We start from the raw sequence: 19415 nt of genomic DNA on the forward strand, positions 1-19415 counted from the left end.
GCTGGGCTGAAAGCCAGGACTTGAGAGGTTGAGCTGGGAAGTTCTCATCCTCTTCGGCTCTAACTGTGGTCTATCCATCTCCTTCCTCAAAGAGGCTGTCTTGGCCCCACCCAGACACAATCTTCTGAGGCTTAGAAGAAGTGGCATTTTCTTTGGCAGGAGGGGTTCTTGAATGAATTCACAGAAATGGGAATGGGAAAGAGATGGATACCTTCTCCTGGCAGGGCTCCTGCCAGGAAGAAGTTAAGGCACACCTAGAACCTGCTTCCTGTCCTAGGAAACCCCTGGTCCAGCCCACCCTGCCTGACTCACTGGATCTGGGGCATGAGTCATACCCCTTCCTTCCCCAGGCTGTGGTGGCTGAGCCACCAGCCCACCAGGGAACCATGATGACATAAGCCCAACTCACCCATAGGGAAGAGGATGGAGACAGAAGGAAGCAGACAGCAGTAAACAGCTGGGGGAGGGGGCAGGGACGAGCAAGAAGCTTTCAGAGAGACACCCCTCCTCTCCCTCTCAGGCCTGGAGGCTGATGTGGAAGGGTCCCTGGCCCTCTCAGCTCCTCCCCTTTTTGTCCCGAAGGGACAGGGACAGATAATGCCTAGGGTGCTGAGTTGCAGAAAACTATTAGGTCTGTGTTTAAGTATAGGTGACTCACAGCCTGATGTGAGAATCTATCATTAGAGATTCATTCCTTTAGCTTCAGATAAGAATCCCCTGTTTAAGATACATAGAGTGGAAAAGGATAAATCATGGAAACTTATTCACAATAAATGCCTGGACTTCTTGAGTTTACCGGAATCACAGAATCAGAATCTAATCCCTAAAGATCACCAAATCCGGATGCTTCATTTTATAAATGAGGACCCTCAAAGCCCAGGGAAATAAAATGACTTGTCCAAGGTCTTGCAGCCAGTTAGTGGTAAAACCAGGGCCAGAATACAGGCTAACAGAGCTCAAGGCTGGCTCCTGGCAAATACAGGGCAATGCCCCCAGCAGCGACCTGCATCAGAGCATCCTGCAGTGAGAGGGGGGCTGCAGGCCTGGAAGGGCTCTGTCTGCAGAACTGGAAAAGACTTCAAAAAATCCTTCTACATTTTTTTCTGAACATAAAAATACATTTGTGCATATTATAGAATATTTAGAAAATACCAAAAGGGATAAAACCACCCTGAATCTATCACTCAGACAGATGATCAGTATGTTTATATGCACATACTTTTAAATTAAATTTTATTTAAAATTTTTGAACCCTGCCTTTTTTTTTAACTTATAATAGCTAATAAGTATCTTACCAGGTCATTAAAAGTAATTCAAAAACATAATTTAAATAACTGCATAAAATTTCATGGTGACTGAATTTAATCATTCCCATGTAGGTTGAATTTCCTTTTTCACTGTGTAAATAGTATTATGATAAATATCTCTGTACATACACATTTTGCCAGATCTCTGATTATTTCAGATAAACATCTAAGGTATAATTTTAGGTTAAAGGGTGTAAATTTTTAAAATTCTTGAAGCATATCACAAAACTGCTTTCTAGAAATGTATCACATGCTATCCTCACCAGCAGCGTATGACAATGCCAGTCTCACTGCGTCTACGCCAGCATTCAGTATAGTATTTTCAGGAATATACATCATTCTATTATAAAGATACATGCATGTGTATGTTCATTGCAGCACTATTCACAATAGCAAAGACATGGAATCAACCCAAATGCCCATCAATGTTAGACTGGATAAAGAAAATGTGGTACGTATACACCATGGAATACTATGCAGCCAAAAACAGGAATAAGATCATGTCCGTTGCAGGGACTTGGATGAAGCTGGAAGCCATTATCCTCAGCAAACTAACACAGGAACAGAAAACCAAACATCGCATGGTCTCACTTGTATGTGGGAGCTGGACATTGAGATCACATGGACACAGGGAGGGGAATAACACACACTGGGGCCTGTCAGGGGATGTGGCGGGAGGGAGAGCATCAGGAAAAATAGCTAGTGCATGTTGGGCTTAATACCTAGGTGATGGGTTGATAGGTGCAGCAAACCACCATGGCACACATTTACCTGTGTAACAAACCTGCACATCCCGCACATGTACCTTGAAACTTAAGATAATTAAACAAGAAGCTTTGCTGATTTTAAAAATGTATTTGCTTATTTATTTTTTATCAGCCCACATCATGCTTTGAGTAGAAAGCTTTGCTGATTTTCTCAGAACCAGCAGGGACAACCCCCACTTGCGTAAGCTGTGTGTTATCTCAGTCAAGGCTGAGCCCTGCTACCTGGGGGACGGCCAGCTAGAGGGACGTCCCCTGGAAGAGACTCAGAACTGAGAAGTTGCTGGAAAACTGCTAGAGAACTGGGCGGTGAAGTCCCAGAGTAGCGCATCATTTGTAGGAAAAGGAGGGCGTGTGGGGTCCCGGGCAGCCAGGAGAGCACCCTGAAGGCACTGAAAAGATTGGGCAGAGGCAAAAAGCCAGAGGAGACAGGAGCTAGAAGTACAGGCAGGAAAAGACTAAAGAGAAATTTTGCCTAATTCGTGGCTATGCCCAAGGCCATCCAGCTAGTTGCTCTGCTACAACAGAAATGTATATTCATTCATCTGTCAATTCATTCATTCATTCACTGAAGCAGGGAGACAGATACTGAGAATGTCCGTGTACAAAGCACGGACAGTGCCATGGGTGACACACAGACCTGCCCTGGGGCCTCATATGTCAGTGTAAACAAGGTATCTTTTCCATTAACAGCAGCATTGTTGATTAACAGCATCTTTTGTACTAATTCCGGGGACACTGCAGTTCACAGGGCAGATGCTCCACCATAAAGGTGAGGCTTCTCACACTATCTGTGGTGAAGACTGGACTTCTGAGCTGTGAACATTGAGTGGTCCTACTGTGCATGACCAGAAAACAGCCTCTGCCACAAGTGACTTATTGGAGACTTCTACGTCACCCAAACTGGTCTATATTCTGTTCAGTGAATCAAGACCACGGACTGTGTGCTTGAATGTTGTGGTAATGCCCAGCTGCTATAAAAGTTTCCAAGCACTGACTCTCAGTTCCCATTCTTTCATCATAGAGCAGTACCAGATCACTCTTGAACAGCACTGCTCTTGAGTATGGGTTCTGGAATCTATAGCATGGGTTCAAACCCTTCCTATGCCACCCATGTTACTGATGGCAAGTTACTTATCCTCTCTGATCCTCAAGTTCCTCATCTCTAATATGGGCTAATAGCATACAAAGAGTTGTTTGGGGAAAATAAATGAGATTATGACAATAAATTATGTAGTGCGGTGCCTGGGACACAGTAAACACACAATAGGTTTTTTCATTTCCACTCGATCCCACGTTGTGAGGTTGGTAGAAGGAGTGAGCATTGGTAATCAACACCTCCAGAGTTATGGATATAATATTTTTATTTTTGAGACAGGTTCTTACTCTGTTGCCCAGGCTGGAGTGCAATGGTGCCATCATAGCTCACTGCAGCCTCCACCTCCCAGGTATAAGCAATCCCCCTACCTCAGCCTCCTGAGTAGCTGAGACTATATGCATGCACCAACACACTTGGTTAATTAAAAAAAATTTTTTTTTGTAGAGATGGCCTATGTTGCTCAGGCTGGTCTTGAACTCATGGGCTCAAGTGAGCCTCCTGCCTTGGCCTCCCAAAGTGTTGGGGTTATAGGCATGAGCCACATTTTTGTTTTGTTTGGATTTTTTGTTGCTGCTTTGTTTTTTGAGATGGGGTTTCACTCTGTTGCCCAGGCTGGAATGCAGTGCCGCAATCACAGCTCACTGCAGCCTCAGCCTCCCAGGCTTAAGCAATCTTCCCACTTCAGATTCTCGAGTAGCTGGGACTACAGGCATGCACCACCATGCCTGGCTAATTATTTAATGTTTTTGTAGAGACAGAGGTCTCCCTGTGTTGCCCAGGCTGGATTTGAACTCCTGGGCGCAAGTGATCCTCCTGTCTTGGTTTCCCAAAGTGCTGGGTGTATAGGAGTGAGCCACCATGCCCGGCCTGGATAAAATGTTAAAGCTGGGGAGTGGGTAGAGTAGCATGGTCATATTTACTGTGTTCCTACTATGTGCCAAAGACTTAACATCTACTATGTAATTGATTCTCAAAATCGCCCTTTGAATTAGGTATTATTCCCATTCTGTAGATGTAAATGAAAATTTGGAGAAGTTAAATAACTTGGCCAACATTACACAGCTAGCATATGGTCGAGTCCAGGTTAAAATCCAGGCCTGTCCAGGTCCAAGCCTTGCTCTTTCCACTACTCCACACAGTCTTCTTTGGCTAAATTGTGTTCTCTCTTCCTGTGATGAAATCCTTTCAGCCTAAGTCAGGGGTCCATGGCAGTAGATTGCATTACTATTCCCAATTATTCATTCCCCTATCCCCTGTGATAGAATTACACATCCCTGTCCCATTGACTCAGGTTTGGTCTTGTGACTCGATTTGGACAATGCAACCTCAGATGCATATCTCAGCAGAAGCTTTGAGCACCATTGCTTGGTGCCACAAGCCCCGCGCGGCCCAGATAGGGGCTGCTCCTACTCTGGGTCCAGGAATGAAGGTGACTTGGAGAGAGAGCTGCAGCCAATGTGAGTGCGAAGTCAGCCTCTGTTGTAAACACTGAGATCTGGGGTGGAGTGAGGGGGTAGAGGATACTGTCACCACCATGGAAGTTAGTCAAAGCTGATCGACACACTTGTCACACTGTGATGCTACAAAGCAATGCCAGAGGGACTACGTGACTTGGAGCCTCTCCCTGCCATGGAGGGGTGGGTGCCCTCTCCCTGTCATTAACACCCTGAAACCTACCTCCCTGTTCCACTGAAAAAGCTGGAACGCCTTGAGAGGTCAGTCACTCTCCCCAGGGCGCTCTGCAAGGCTTTGCTGGGGATGAGAGCCCAGACCCATTGCTTCCCCACCAGTGCCATCCACCTTGCCACCCCCTAGAACTCAGCCTGGAAGGAGAAATGCCCCTTGGCAGATGTCTCAGGGCCATCAGGGCTGGGGTGGAGCAGGATGTGAGGTGTGACTCAGCTGTGTGCACGGGCAGGGCTGGACCTGCTGGATATAGATAAGAGCCCCTTCCCTCGCCTCCTTCCATTCTGCTTTCCTCACTGCTTTCCCTAAATGTTATTCCTGGAGGCTAGGCTTTTGGTTTTGCTTATTTTGAGTGGGTAAACAAGAGAGGGGCAGAACCTTGGCCTAGGGATGTCTGAGGACCCCCCAGCACAGGAAGGGAGTAGCCATGGTGTTATGCTCACCCCTGCGGAGCCCCTGTAGTTACAGCTGCTCTCCAGGCCTCAGGGGCTCCCACCTGGCTGGTCATCAAAATCACCTGCACGGTTTTTCCCAGCCCTACCTAAGAGCACCATTTACAACAATGCAGGGTATTTACTGCACAAAAGGAACCTGGCTAAGAAGGCAAATGGGGGCCGGAGGTGCAGTCTGCGTTCAACTACCAAAGGCATGCCTCCACGCAGGGCTGCCTTCCCCAAAGAAAGCAGGGGGGTTCTCATCTCATAAAGGCTGCATCCAGGCGGGGGGCGGTGGCTCACGCCTATAATCCCAGCACTTTGGGAGGCCGAGGCGGGCGGATCATGAGGTCAGGAGATCGTGACCACGGTGAAACCCCGTCTCTACTAAAGATACAAAAATTAGCCGGGCGTGGTGGCGGGCTCCTGTAGTCCCAGCTACTCGGGAGGCTGAGGCAGGAGAATGGCGTGAACCTGGGAGGCGGAGCTTACAGTAAGCCGAGATCGCGCCACGGCACTCCAGCCTGGGAGACAGAGCCAGCCTCCGTCTCAAAAAAAAAAAAAGGCTGCATCCATTCGCTAAGCCACATGGCAGTGGGTCTGCATCTCCCCAGAGCGGGTGCTTTTTTCTATTCCATGGAAAAGTAGCAGGAATCATGTCCATACCCAGGAGACTCTGATTCTTGGGTTGGGAAATCTTCATTTTAAGAAATCTCTCACTTCCAGGTGGTTCTGAAGGTGAGTTGGCTCTGGGAACCAGGACCCTGGAAAATCCCTGAACCTCTCAGCCCTCCTTAGGGAAGGGCCCTCTCAGTGCAACAACCATGGCATGCCCTCTGAAAGTCCCAGCTGAAGCCAGGTGCCAGGCAGGCACTGCCCAGAAAGTCTCTGCCACTCCCAGGTGATGTGACTGGCCAGACTCCATCCTGGCCTCCCACCTCTCCTCTGAGGCTGGCATTGAAGAGGCCCCCTGTCTCCATACACCCAGCTCCGCCTCTGGGAGATGCTGCCCGCCGCTAGGTGGAGCAGTTTGCTAGGGGGATTAAAAGAGGGGTGACGCCAGCCCTAACAATATCCAAGGCAGAGCTGTGAACGAAGGGACGTGTGACCGGTAGCAGGTGACTGCAGACTTCCTGAGGTTAATGATGGGAAGAGATGGTGGAAGGATTGAATTCTGATTTTGACCAATCACGCTCCTTTCTGGAGTTCCCTGTAGAGAAACTGCCCTAATCAGAAATTCCCGAGACCGGAAGCCTGGCACTTCTAAAGGCCCTAAATCTCAGGACAGCCCATAGGTAGTCAGAAGAGCCAGCTAATTGAGGCATCCCACCCTTGCCAGCGCCGAGACTCTCAAGTGAGGAACCTAGTGTGCAACATTTCAGGAGGGTAGATGTCTCAATTAGCTGGCACTTCTGACCACCTGTGGGGCACCCACCCACACTGTCCTGCAAGTTGGGGCCCTTAGAAACTCACCTTTCACAGTAGGGTGAAGGCAAATCATCTCTAATTAAAGATCCCAAATTGAGGTCTTTTCCTGTGCAATTGAGAATATGTTTCCAATAAATGCAGAAATGGAAGAAAATAGCAAACAATGATTGAGAGAGCAGGCTCTGGATCTGATCTTGGTAAAGTACAGATCTGATTCTGTCAGGCCTGAGAATCTGCATTTCTATCAAGCTCTGAGATGAGGATGCAGTTGGTCAGGGACCACATCTTGAGTGGCAGGGAGTTAGTTGACCTTGGGCAAGTTACTCAGTTCCTCTAAAAGGAACTGAACCCAGGACTGATCACATAATTTTTTAGTCCTGGTGCAAAAGGAAAATGCCAAGCCCTTGGTTCAAAATTAGTATGAATTTTAAGACCTTGACAGTAGAGAATGAAAACAGGCACAGGGCCTTTCAAATTGCAGGGGACCCTATGCAACTGCCTAAGCCTCAGAGGGTTGGAAGACTCAACAAAGTTAACCATGTAAAGCACTTAGAAAGCACCTGGGCATGGTAAATCCATGAAAATGTCCCTGATCATGATTGCCTAGCCCAGAACAGCCTCTCCTTGAACATCGGGATTGTCAGACTGAGCTTATGTGGACCGACCTCCACTTTACAGGGGAGGAAGTTGAGCCCCACAGCAGGAGTTTGAAGAATAAAGGTTGGGTGAATGGGGTGACTTGTGGAGGCCAAGCTCAGGCCACCAGACACCCAGGCCAGGGCTCCTCCTTCTGGGCCATCTCCTCAATGGACAAAAAGAAAAAGTGATGACGGCAGCAAGATAACACTACCACCATCGCTCAGAAATACCAAAGAGAGTGTGAGCCTGTCTGGATGGATGAATGAAGGAGGGCCTATAGGAACGATCCTAGCCATTAACTCACCTGTTGGGCTTCTAGAGATGTGCATTCGGAGCCATTGGTAAGAGCATGGAATTACGTGGAAACTGCAGAGGGGCCCTCCAACACTTTGCCTCTGAAATGGACCTAGGCTATTGTGCTTTGCGGGTTCTCGGTCTGCTTTCCCTAGTTTTGCTATCTCTGCCCTTATCTCCACTGCCACTTCTCATTGCTGTTAGGCTGTCCATCTCCCGCAGCTACTCCATAAATTGCTGGCAGTCTGATAGACAAATAACCTGAGTTATTAGGATGGTGCTTAAAATAAGGATAAATGGCATCTGACTGGTATCCGGTCAGTCATGAATGTTGCAATGTTTTGACATCTTAGAATACCCTCTAGCTGGGGAGAGATTGCCTCTCTCAGGGCCTAGCCAGTTCCTAGAAATAGCAAGGGCTCAGCTGAGAGCATGCTTTTGATGTACAAACTAACCAATCCTTCACCATCTGGCCTATACACCCAGGGAGACAATATTCCTCATCTTAATCATCCCAGGGCAAGGTATCAGGCAACTAGGGACCACTCCTATAGCTTAGAGCACCCTCCATAACATTCAAACTAGCCAGTCCAAAACTGTTCACCTTGTCCTGCCTTGCCTTCCCCTTGAAAGCCCCAATAAAGGCTCTGACCTAACGCTTTCCCCTGGCTCCTGTCTTCTGCCCCCTGACCACCCTGGTGTCTTCCCCCGTGTGGTATGCCATGTCTTACACAGCTAGCATATGGCCGAGGACCTGTGAGTGTAATACACTCTGTGTGAATTTGCTCTTGATTTTAGCCACGCAACTCACCGTGATGCCTGGCACATGGGTGCTATGCCATAAACATGGGCTGAATAAGTTAAATGAATAAAGGTAGAGGAGGCCTGTCCACCACAGATCTTTCTATTCCTTTCCACAAAGAAGTTGGGCCTGCCCAGACTGATCAGCAGTACTGTAATTTGTGCATCCCAGTTCACCCCTAACTTCTTCTCTCATACATGGAAGAAAATGCATATCAGTTAGAATGCTTCGGGCTGCAAGTAACTGAAAAGTCAACCAGCAGTGGCTTAAACCCAACACAGATGTTGTTAGTTACTTAATGAGTAGGCGATTCCAGAGTAGATGCAATGGCTCAGTGCTGCCATCAAAACCTAGGCTTTCCCCATCTTTTTTTTTTTTTTTTTTTTTTGAGATGGAGTTTTGCTCTTGTTGCCCAGGCTGGAGTACAATGGTGCAATCTTGGCTCACTGCAACCTCCGCCTCCCAGGTTCAAGCGATTATCCTGCCTCAGCCTCCCGAGTAGCTGGGATTACAGGCATGCGCCACCATGCCCGGCTAATTTTTTATTTTTTTTAGTAGAGACGGGTTTCTTCATGTTGTTCAGGCTGGTCTCAAACTCCCAACCTTAGGTGATCTGCCTGCCTCAGCCTCCCAAAGTGCTGGGATTACAGGGGTGAGCCACCGAGCGGTGGCCGGTTTTCCCCCTTTCTGCCCTGTCATCATCAGTGTCTTCTGCTACAGCAACAAACATTCTCTCAAAACTGTGTCCAGCAGAAAGGGCCAAAAAGGGGTTGGGGGAGGGCATTTGTTTGCAAGATTGAATTTTTAAAATTAAGTGACTGTCTGTAGTGACCTCTAAGAGAGTACTCATGACATAATTTTGTAATTATTTTTTACCTGTGAACATGCCTCACCTCCACCCTCCACAGCCAGCTTCTTCATGAACAGAAACTGTATTTTAGGACTCTGCTTCCCCAGTCCCTGGCACAGTCTAGGCACCCACAGTGTTGACAGAAGAGGGGGCTCTGAAGGGGGCCAAGAGTGAAAGGTGGGGAGGGACCACAGGTGAGGGAGGGGAGGGGTCCTTTGCTAGAACCAGGGAACTCAAAGGGAAAGTGGGCATCAGGGTGCTCATAGCATAGGAAAGGGGAAGTGGTAAGTCTGAGAAAAGGTGGGAGAGGGTTGCGGCAAACCTTGGCACAGTCTGGAGAGAACCGCAGAGAGGAAAGGAAGGGTGTAGAGCCTGAGGTTTATGCCAACACAGCTTCTTCCTTTAGGCTTCATAATATTTCTTCCATCTCACTGGGCATTGTTTCCTCCCAGCAAGGTGAGTGTGTGGCTGTCACAATATCCAGAAGTGTCCAAGTGCAAGTGAGCCCTGGGGTGGGTGTTACTGATGGCTCCTGGAATAGTTGGAGGAACGAAAGACTTTTAAATCCACTTCCTTTTTCCCACCCATATGGTCTAATGGAATTGAATGCTTAACACCAGGCACTTTTTTAAAAAGTAGGGAGGAGGCTGGGTGCAGTGGCTCATGCCTGTAATCCCAGCACTTTGGGAGGCCAAGGCAGGCAGATCACCTGAGGTCGGGAGTTCAAGACCAGCCTGACCAACATGGAGAAACCCCATTTCTACTAAAAATACAAAAAAATTAGCCAAGCCTGGTGGCAGGTGCCTGTAATCCCAGCTACTCAGGAGGCTGAGGCAGGAGAATCACTTGAACCCGGGAGACGGAGTTTGTGGTGAGCTGAGATCATGCCATTGCACTCCAGCCTGGGCAACAAGAGCAAAAAACTCTGTCTCAAAAATAAATAAATAAATAAATAAATAAAATTAAAAATAAAAAGGGGAGAGGAGAAGCTAAAATATTGGGGGTGATTAAGAAAGAATGAAGTGTGCCAGGCACAGTGATTCAAGCCTACAGTCCTAGCACTCTGGGAAGCTGAGGCAGGCAGATCACTTAAACTCAAGAGTTCAAGACCAGCCTGGACAACATGATGAAACCCCATCTCTATGAAAAATACAGGTGTGTGCTTGTAGTCCCAGCTACTTGGGAGGCTGAGGTGGGGGGAGTGCTTGAGCCTGGAAAGTTGAAGCTGCAGTGAGCCAAGATTGTGCCACTGCACTCCAGGTTGGATGACAGAAAAAGACGCTGTTTAAAAAAAAAAAAAAAAAAAAGGAAGCAGATCCAAGCCCCTGCCCACCCCTAGTCTTCCTTCCTATGGTCCCAGTCTCAGCATCCGGCATTCTCCCTGGTCTTGGGTCATGACCTGTCTGAGCAGGGTCCTGCTGAGACTTCCACTGGGTGTGGGGTGGGGAGGAAGCCCACAGGATTGGGCTGCCCCCAGAGCCCCTTCAGATCAGCACAGACATGCCCACGGCTATGCTTCTACCCTGTGTCTGGAAGTGGGCTCTCTTGTGGTCCTATTCTAGCTCTTGTCAATCAGAGCAGACCCAGTTTCCCTCAGTTCCTTCCTCCCCAAGGCTGGTCCCTGGGAGGCAGGGCTCCCTTCTCATTGTCTTAATTCTTCTCAGTCCCCTTTGGATAGGAAGGACATCATTCCAACTGGTTCACCTGCTTTATCTTTCCGGGAGAAACAAAGTTTAGCTCATACTAGGAATGAAAATTTTTTGTTTGTTTGCTTTGTTTTGGTTTGGTTTTAGAGACAGGGTCTCACTCTGTTGCCCAGGCTGGAATGCAGTGCTGTGATCACAGCTCACTACAGCCTCAAACTCTGGGCTCAAGTGATCCTCCTGCCTCAGCTTCCTGAGCAGCTAGGACTACAGGCACACACCACCATGCCTGCCTAATTTTTAAAAATTTTTGTAGGCCAGGTACAGTGGCTCATGCCTATAATCCCAACACTTTGGGAGGCCAAGGCGGGAGAATCACTTGAGGTCAGGAGTTCAAGACCAGTCTGGGCAACATGATGAAACTCCATCTCTACAAAAAATTAGCCCGGTGTGGTGGCACACGCCTATAGTCCCAGCTACTCCAGAGGCTGAGGTGTGAGGATTGCTTGAGCCCAGAAGGTGGAGGTTGCAGTGAGCTGAGATACCAGCACTGCATTCCAGCCTGGGCAACAGAGTCTCTAAAACCAAACCAAAAAACAAAGCAAACAAACAAAAAGTTTTCATTCTTAGTATGAGCTAAACTGTTTCTCCCGGCAAGACAAAGCAGGTGAACCAGTTGGGATGAGGTCCTTCCTTTCGAAAAGGGACTGGGAAGAATTAAGGCAATGAGAGGGGAGCCCTGCCTCCCAGGGACCAGCCTCAGGGAGCAACAACACAGGGGAACTGGACCTGCTCTGATGGACAGGAGCTGGAATAGGACCACAGGAGAACCCACTTCCAGACACAGGGTAGAACCACAGCGGTGGGCGTGTCTCTGCTGATCTGATAGTATCCTGAGAGCCAGCCTGATCCTGTGGGCTCCCTCCCTGCCCCACACCCCACATCTTGTCTCAAAAAAAAAATTTTTTTTTTTGGTGGAGACAGGGTCTTGCTATATTGCCGATTGGTCTGGAACTCCTGGGCTCAAGTGATCCTCCTGCCTCAGCCTCCCAAAGTGCTGGGATTACAGGCATGAGCCACCATGCCTGGCCAATGAAAAAATTTAATAACCGGCTTATCCTGCCTGAAACAAAACATCTCTGAGTGGTTTACTAAACACATCAAAACCCAAAACACACCCAGTATCTAACATTTAAAATATTCAGTATGACTCTCAGATTACCTTTTCCTGCGGAGAGACAAGCAGAACAACAGTCTCGAAAAGATTCCCCACACAAAGGAGACTATTGTGTGGTCCGACAGGATCTCTGGGCTGAGTTGGGTAGTTGCTGAGGAGGGTAGAGGGTTTGAGCTTCACCCTTGGGGTTTTCAATGGTGATCTCAGCAAGGGAGTTAAGAATCAAAGCCCTGGGACCATGGCTGTGAAACCTTTGAAAGTAGGAGAACAGCTGTCATGTGCCCTGTGGGAGTTTCACTATCTGCTGCCTCTTCGCTGTTGGCACAGTCAGTGTGTGCCCCTTAAAACACAAGTGGCCGGTGCGATTGCCTTCAGCAGCAGCAGACTGTGAAATGGTAGGCTGCCGGGTTCGGGGGACAGTGTGGATAATGTCTATTTTTTTGGTTTTGTTTTGTTTTTTTTGAGACAGAGTTTCACTCTTGTTGCCCAGGCTGGAGTGTAATGGCGTGATCTTGGCTCACCGCAACCTCCGCCTCCTGGATTCAAGCGATTCTCCTGCCTTAGCCTTCCAAGTAGCTGGGACTACAGGCATGTGCCACCATGCCCGGCTAATTTTGTATTTTCAGTGCAGACGGGGTTTCTCCATGTTGGGCAGGCTGGTTTCGAACTCCTGACCTCAGGTGATCCACTCAGCTCGGCCTTGCAAAGTGCTGGGATTACAGGCGTGAGCCACGGTGCCTGGCCTAATGTCCAGTTTTAAGAGACAACGTCTGCAGATTCCTAGGGCTTATAGCTCAGGGGCAGAGGAGTCAGAAGTCACCTAGTCCTCCCCAGGCCTCCGCAGGCTCCAGGACTCTTCCCTCTGCCCACTGGGAAAAACTAGATGAGCCAAAGCAATGGGAAAGCTGGAGTGTTGGAGGTAGCTAGAGTGTATTGTGTCGCGCGGGGGAGGGAGGGATTGGAGGTAGCCAGAGTGTATTGTGTCACGCGGGGGAGGGAGGGATGCTTCAGGCGGCTGATGACTATGGGGATGTGGGTGGCGTACTCCAGTAGAAAAGCTACACTGTAATATTTGTGACAGTCCCGTTAACTGTAAAGCACTATCCAAATGCCATTATAAAATCATCCTGTTGTCGACAATTTTAAGAGAAAAACTTCTGCCCAGTTGCCACTAGAGGGTGACCGAGTCCCGCATAGTTGAGAAGGTCTCGGGCAGGGAAGGGCCCTTGGTCTACAAACGGAGAGGGTATGAGAGGGCAGCTCTGGCTGGCTGTGGCCGTGGAAATGCGGCCTTCGGCGGGCCCTGGGTTCCAACGCGAAGTTGAAGCAGGCCACCTTTGTCAGGGGCTTCCGTCGTTGTTCTCTGGAATCCCAACACCCTGCCGCGAACACACTCAGGTGGAACCCCAGGTCGGCGGCCCAGGGCTCTACCCACCGGCTTCCCACGAGAGCTCCGTCTTAAGACTTACCGTCGCCATTCATTTTCAGTTCTTATTCCCAGGGCTCTACTAAATACCACCTACTCTGAGAAACTCATTTACGCTAAGGAGCTAATAATGGCAGACAACGATTTAGTTTTTAGCCCTTTCGGGGACACTCATACTTAGGAGATTTGGTTTCTTTTAAGGGTGTGTAAGCTTAGTCTCCTCAGGCCCCCCTGCACTGGGGGTGATAGTAACTGTAAGGCACCGTGCTTTTCTAGCATGTTCTGGCACTGTCATGAGACCATCCCCAAAAGCCTCTCGCACACATTTCCGAGACACCCAGGATGTTTTACAGGAGCTCGACAATGCCCTTTTTTTTTTTTTTGAGACAAAGTCTCACTCTGCTGCCCAGGCTGGAGTACAGTGGCACGATTCTGGCTCACTGCAACCTCTGCCTCCCGGGTTCAAGCGATTCTCCTGCCTCAGCCTCCTGAGTAGCTGGGATTAGGCACCCGCCACCACACCCAGCTAATTTTTGTATTTTAGTAGATACGGGGTTTTGCCATGTTAGACAGGCTGGTGTCAAACACCTGACCTCAAGCGACCCACCCGCCTCAGCCTCCCAAAGTGCTGGAATTACAGGCATGAGCCACCGTGCCCAGCTGACAATGCCTTTTTAGCCTCCACCTATGCCCAGACCCCCATGGTCAGCTGGGCACACCTCTGACTGCTTCCAGTGCAGCAGCAGAGGACCCACCCACACCCACATGCAAGGACGCCCTCGGTGCACTAGCCCAAAGCTCTATCCTGCTCCCCAAGATTGGAATAATATTCACAGCTAACACTTAGAGCACTTATGTGCCTAGCACTTTTCCAAGTGCTTGTACATATTTAATCTTCACTACACAGTAGGGGAGAACTCTTACCATTGCATTACCTTGTTTCACAAAGGAGGAATTTGAGGCCCAGAAAAGTTAAGTACTTTGTCCAAGTCACACAGCTGGTACGTGGAAGAGCCAAGATTCCAACTCAGGCCATCTGACTCATCGGCCAGGTTTCTCACCAGCACACACACTGCCTCTGCAGAGAGCGGGTGAAACTGCATTGTCAGTCTGTCCTCACCAGCTATTCCCTCACCAGAACTCAAGGCCAGACCCTCACCCTACTCAACGCTGCCCCTTCCTTCCAACCTCAGGCTTGAGGGCCTGGCCTCCTTCCTTTAGTATTAGTTATCATCTGCCGGCTGCTCCTGAAGCTCTCCCCACTGCTGCCCTGGGCTGTAGGGGGCCTGCTGGAGAGAGAAGCAGGCGTTGGTTTGGAGGAGCCAGGTGAACTTTGTGCAGCCTCTCTTATCACGCTCTGTAAGCAGTCAGCCACCTCATCTGATTAGCTGGTGTTGGTCTCCTTTAAAGATGGAATTTTCCCATTAGAGTCAAATGAGAGCAGGATCACAGAGTTAGAAGGAATGTGAAGGCTCAAGACCCGTATTCTCTTGTTTTATACAAAATAAGAGCCCACAGAGATTAAATAACTTGCTCAAGTTCACAAAGCTCAGCTGGGCTGAAGCCATGACTAAAATGGGATCATTGTGTTAATAACAATAACAATGATGAGGCCCAGTGTGGTGGCTCATGCCTGTAATCCCAGCACTTTGGGAGGCTGAGGCAAGTGGACAATTTTTTTTTTTTTTTTTTGAGACAGAGTCTCACACTGTCGCCCAGGCTGGCGTGCAGTGGCGTGATCTTGGCTCACTGCAACATCCGGCTCCCGGGTTCAAGCGATTCTCCTGTCTCAGCCTCCTGAGTAGCTAGGATTACAGGCACCCACCACCACGCCCAGCCAATTTTTGTATTTTTAGTAGAGATGGGGTTTCACCATGTTGGTCAGGCTGGTCTCAAACTCCTGACCTCATGATTCGCCCACCTCGGCCTCCTAAAGTGGCTCATGGCCACAGGTGGATCTTTTGAGGTCAGGAGTTTGAGACCAGCCTGGCCAACATAGTGAAACCCCATCTCTACTAAAAATACAAAAATTGGCAAGGTGTGATAGCAGGCACCTGTAATCCCAGCTACTCAGGAGGCTGAGGCAGGAGAATTGCTTGAACCTGAGAGGCAAAGTTTGCAGTGAGTTGAGATTGCGCCATTGCACTCCAGCCTGGGTGACAGAGCAAGACTGTGTTTCAAAACAAACAAATAAACAGCAACAACAACAAAAATGATGAAAACTAACATTCCTTAAGGTTTTACCGCATGCCAGATACAGTACCAGCACCAAGCTGGTACTTAGATACATTATCTCAGTTAATTCTTTCAACAGCGCTACAAGTAACAGCTTTAAGAGCTCTGTTACCTTCCTCATTTTACAAATGAAGAAACAGATTCCAAGAGATTCCAAGAGATTAAGTAACTTCCTCAAGATCACGTGGCTCATAAACTGTGGAGCAGATGGTACCCAGGTTTGTCTTTGACTCCAAAGTCGCTGCTCTTAATGATTAAGGCACACAAGGGAATCACAAGCACTCTGATAAAACTCCTGCGAGAGGAGCCCGAACCTGGCTATGCCTTGGTTGGAGCTGAGGCACGGGTACGATGGGACATGGAGACAGGCCACAATCACACATTCCAGTCCCCTCCACAAAACCACAGAGCTTGGATGACATGGACCCAGATTTCCCTGGGACAGAGCTTGAACCCTGTATACTCAGGTTCATCTATACAGAGTCAGGCTGGGAAGGGTAGATTATAGGGAATAACATACGGGCCTAGGGAGGAAAAATACCCACTGTAAGTTAGGAAGGATCCAGGCCTAGGGGACAAGGTGGCTCTTGTTCCTGTGCAAGCCTGTGCCGGACCCACGCCTGGTCCCCTGGAATGCCTGGGTGCTCTCAAGGGGAGGGCTGTATGGTAAAGCAGAAAGAGCCTTCCCACGTGGGCTCACGTGACTTTGCTATAAGCCCTCCATCCTAAGGAAAGAAGAAGCAGGAGTGCTTTCTCAACTGGCAGAGTGGTGACCGAGTGGAGTGTCACATCAACTGGTGTCAATGGCATCACGGGGATAAGATCTGGAGGAGGCAGGTGGCAACGGGGCCTGTGGAGTGGAGTCTTGGTGGAGGGGCTGGGCAGTGAGTGACCGGTGCAATATCAGGCGCTGCCCCAGGACATTGACTTGATGAAAGGCCCAGAGACCTCAGGACTTTGGAGGGCCTGCTCATCAGTAAGGGGCAGAGAGCTCCTCATTAAGTGGACCACAAAGCTTAACGTCCCATTCTGATCCCCTGAGGATTCTGTGATCAAAGCAGTCCCTTCCTGCTGTGACTTTGGTATGAGCATAAAGCCTCAAAGTGTGCAGGGCTGGGGATCGGGGCACCAGCTTCCCAAATACGCCTTTGTGTTTACATACAATCCTATAGGTGCCCCAACAACCTGGCAGGAGAGTCCCTATTCTCTCTAGATTTCAGAAAGACAAATCAAACCATGGGAAATCCATGGCAGGCATGAACAGCTAATTCTAGTTCACCAAATCTGGGCTAACAAGAGCAGATAAAAAGGGTTCAGCATAGGCTGGGCGTGGTGGCTCACGCCTGTAATCCCAGCACTTTGGGAGGCCGAGGCGGGTGGATCACGAGGTCAGGAGTTCGAGACCAGCCTGACCAACATAGTGAAACCCCATCTCTACTAAAAATACAAAAATTAGCTGGGCATGGTGGCGCTTGCCTGTATCCCAGCTACTCGGCAGGCTGAGGCAGGAGAATTGCTTGAACCTGGGAGGCGGAGGTTGCAGTGAGCCGAGATCGCGCCACTGCACTCCAGCCTGGGTGACAGAGTGAGACTCTGTCTCAAAAAAAAAAAAAAAAAAAAAAAAAAAAAACGGTTTAGTGTAATCCCAGCATTTTGGGAGGCCAAAGTAGGAGAATCGCTTGAGCCCAGGAGTTTGAGACCAGCCTGGGCAACATTATGAGACCCCATCCCTACCCAAAACATTTTAAAAATTAGCCCAGTGTTGTGGCACACATCTGTGGTCCCAGCTACTCTGGAGGCTGAGGTGGGAGGATCGCTTGAGCCCAGGAGGTCCAGGCTGCAGTGAGCTGAGATGCCACCATTGCACTCCAGCTGGGGTGACAGAGTGAGACCCCAACTCAACAACAGCAGCAGCAGCAGCAGCAGACCAAAACAGCGGCAAAAAAGGTTGGGGAAATGTGAGCTGGGTTGTGTCCCAGAAGCTCCCACATGGAAACTGGGGTGGGGGAAGGGAACAGAGGTTTCCGCAGGGGGCAGTCAGTGCCCATACTCTAGATGTCATCTTTGGGTGAGCTTGGAACTGGAGCACAATTTTATCTACTTTTTCTTCTTCATTTTGCATATTAAAATCTTTTAATAGGATAAAAAGCAAACATCTTTATTTAATGTGTTCATGTTGCGCTCACAGTGATTACCCTTAAATTTTTTAACATATTCTTTTCAATATGTACATGAAAATGTCACATAGAACAAAATGGAATATAGTGAGAAGTGTGTCTCTCCTGCCCCACAGGCAGCCACTATGAATTGGTAACATCTGCCCAGTGCTTTCCAGCTTAAAGAATGTGTGCTCATAAATTATCTCGTCGGATCCCAGCAACAACTCCCTAAGATATGTTGGCCCTAAATCATTATTGTCTCCACTTACAGATGGGAAATCCAGCTCCAAGAGGTTAAATGATCTGCCCAGAGTTAGGCATCTAAAGAATGGCAGGACCAAGATTTAGACCCTGGTGGTCAGAGCCCAACTTCTGAAGCCTTTGAATTACACCACACTGCCTTCCTTGGCGAACGAGCCCTGGTTCTTAGAACCTGGAATGTGCCATAAATAGTTCGCCTTCTGCAAAGAGAGACTTGCAGTTGGTCAGGAAACAGAAAAATATCTCCTGTCTTGAGTATTTACCTTCCAGAATGGACTGTTCATTCTCTGCTCTGAGACACGTTTACAAGGACACCTCTCTTCTGTGTTTTAGAGCATCGTACCTTTAAAAGTCAGCAGCGGGCAAGCTCTCAGGACAGACTATGTGAAGAGCCTGGTGTTCTAGGGCTGCCATGACAAATTGCCACAAACTGTGGGGCTGAAATAAACAGAAATGTATTCTCTCATGTTCAGGAGGACAGAAGTCCGAAACCAAGGTGTTGGCAGAGTTGGTTCTTTCTGGAAGCTCTGAGGGAGAATCTCGGGCTTCTCTGCTGCCTTATGGTGGTTGCCGGCAACCTGGGTGGTCCTGGGTTTGTAGGGGCATCACTCCAATCTCTGTTTTGGTGGTCGCATGTGGTGTTTTCCCTGTCTGTGTGTCTTTGTTTTCTCTTTTATAAAGTTCCCAGTCATTTGATTTAGGGCCCACCCTCATCTAGGTATGACCTCATTTTAAGTAATTATGTCTGCAGAGACCCTGTTTCCACATAAGGTCACATTCTGAGCTTCTTGTTGAGCTTGAATGTTAAGGAGACACCATTCAACGTAGTCCTCTCTGTTTTTCTGTTTTGTTCAATAAATAGGGAGGGCACTTTTAGAACATTCTGACTCTTCCTTAACCAGCCATGTCCCAACCCAGGAAGTTGATGCCCATCTTACAAGGAGGGCCAGAAAAAGGGAACAAGGCACACAGAGGTATCCTCAGAGCTGATGGATGGCTGCTGGCAGATGCCCAGAAACAGGTGCTGGGCCTGGAGGGTGGAAGTATATACCATGGTAGCTACATGGTTTGGTGTCAAAATACTTGTATTTTAGTGAGCATGAGAATGAGAGTAAGAGTGGGACAGAGAGAAGAGAAAAGGGAGGGAGAAAGATGGCTTATTCACACACAAAAATTTAGTGGTTCAGAATTAATTTAACTTGGAATAAATG

General features: G+C 48.7%; 1 protein-coding gene across 1 annotated transcript in view, besides 3 other annotated features; it reads left to right on the top strand.

The window, feature by feature from the left end:
• Window positions 1-19415, top strand: part of GPHN (gephyrin) — a 1227209-nt gene that overhangs the window by 905861 nt on the left and 301933 nt on the right. The gene's annotated exons all lie outside the window — the stretch shown is intronic.
• Window positions 4955-5255: an enhancer, noted in NCBI's record as "enhancer fragment used in reporter construct". NCBI's record gives its function as "activates an SCP1 promoter by reporter assays in K562 erythroleukemia cells {active_cell/tissue: K562}" and the evidence as "EXISTENCE:reporter gene assay evidence [ECO:0000049][PMID:32103011]".
• Window positions 5033-5177: an enhancer, noted in NCBI's record as "145 bp enhancer 49 fragment used in the MPRA reporter construct; PK_construct_4215". NCBI's record gives its function as "activates an SV40 promoter by MPRA in K562 cells {active_cell/tissue: K562}" and the evidence as "EXISTENCE:reporter gene assay evidence [ECO:0000049][PMID:23512712]".
• Window positions 5097-5114: a transcriptional cis regulatory region, noted in NCBI's record as "GATA motif; enhancer activity is reduced when this motif is scrambled". NCBI's record gives its function as "necessary for full MPRA enhancer 49 activity {active_cell/tissue: K562}" and the evidence as "EXISTENCE:site-directed mutagenesis evidence [ECO:0005528][PMID:23512712]".

The sequence above is a fragment of the Homo sapiens genome, chromosome 14 (assembly GCF_000001405.40).
Source record: "Homo sapiens chromosome 14, GRCh38.p14 Primary Assembly".
In the NCBI taxonomy this organism is placed as follows: domain Eukaryota; kingdom Metazoa; phylum Chordata; class Mammalia; order Primates; family Hominidae; genus Homo; species Homo sapiens.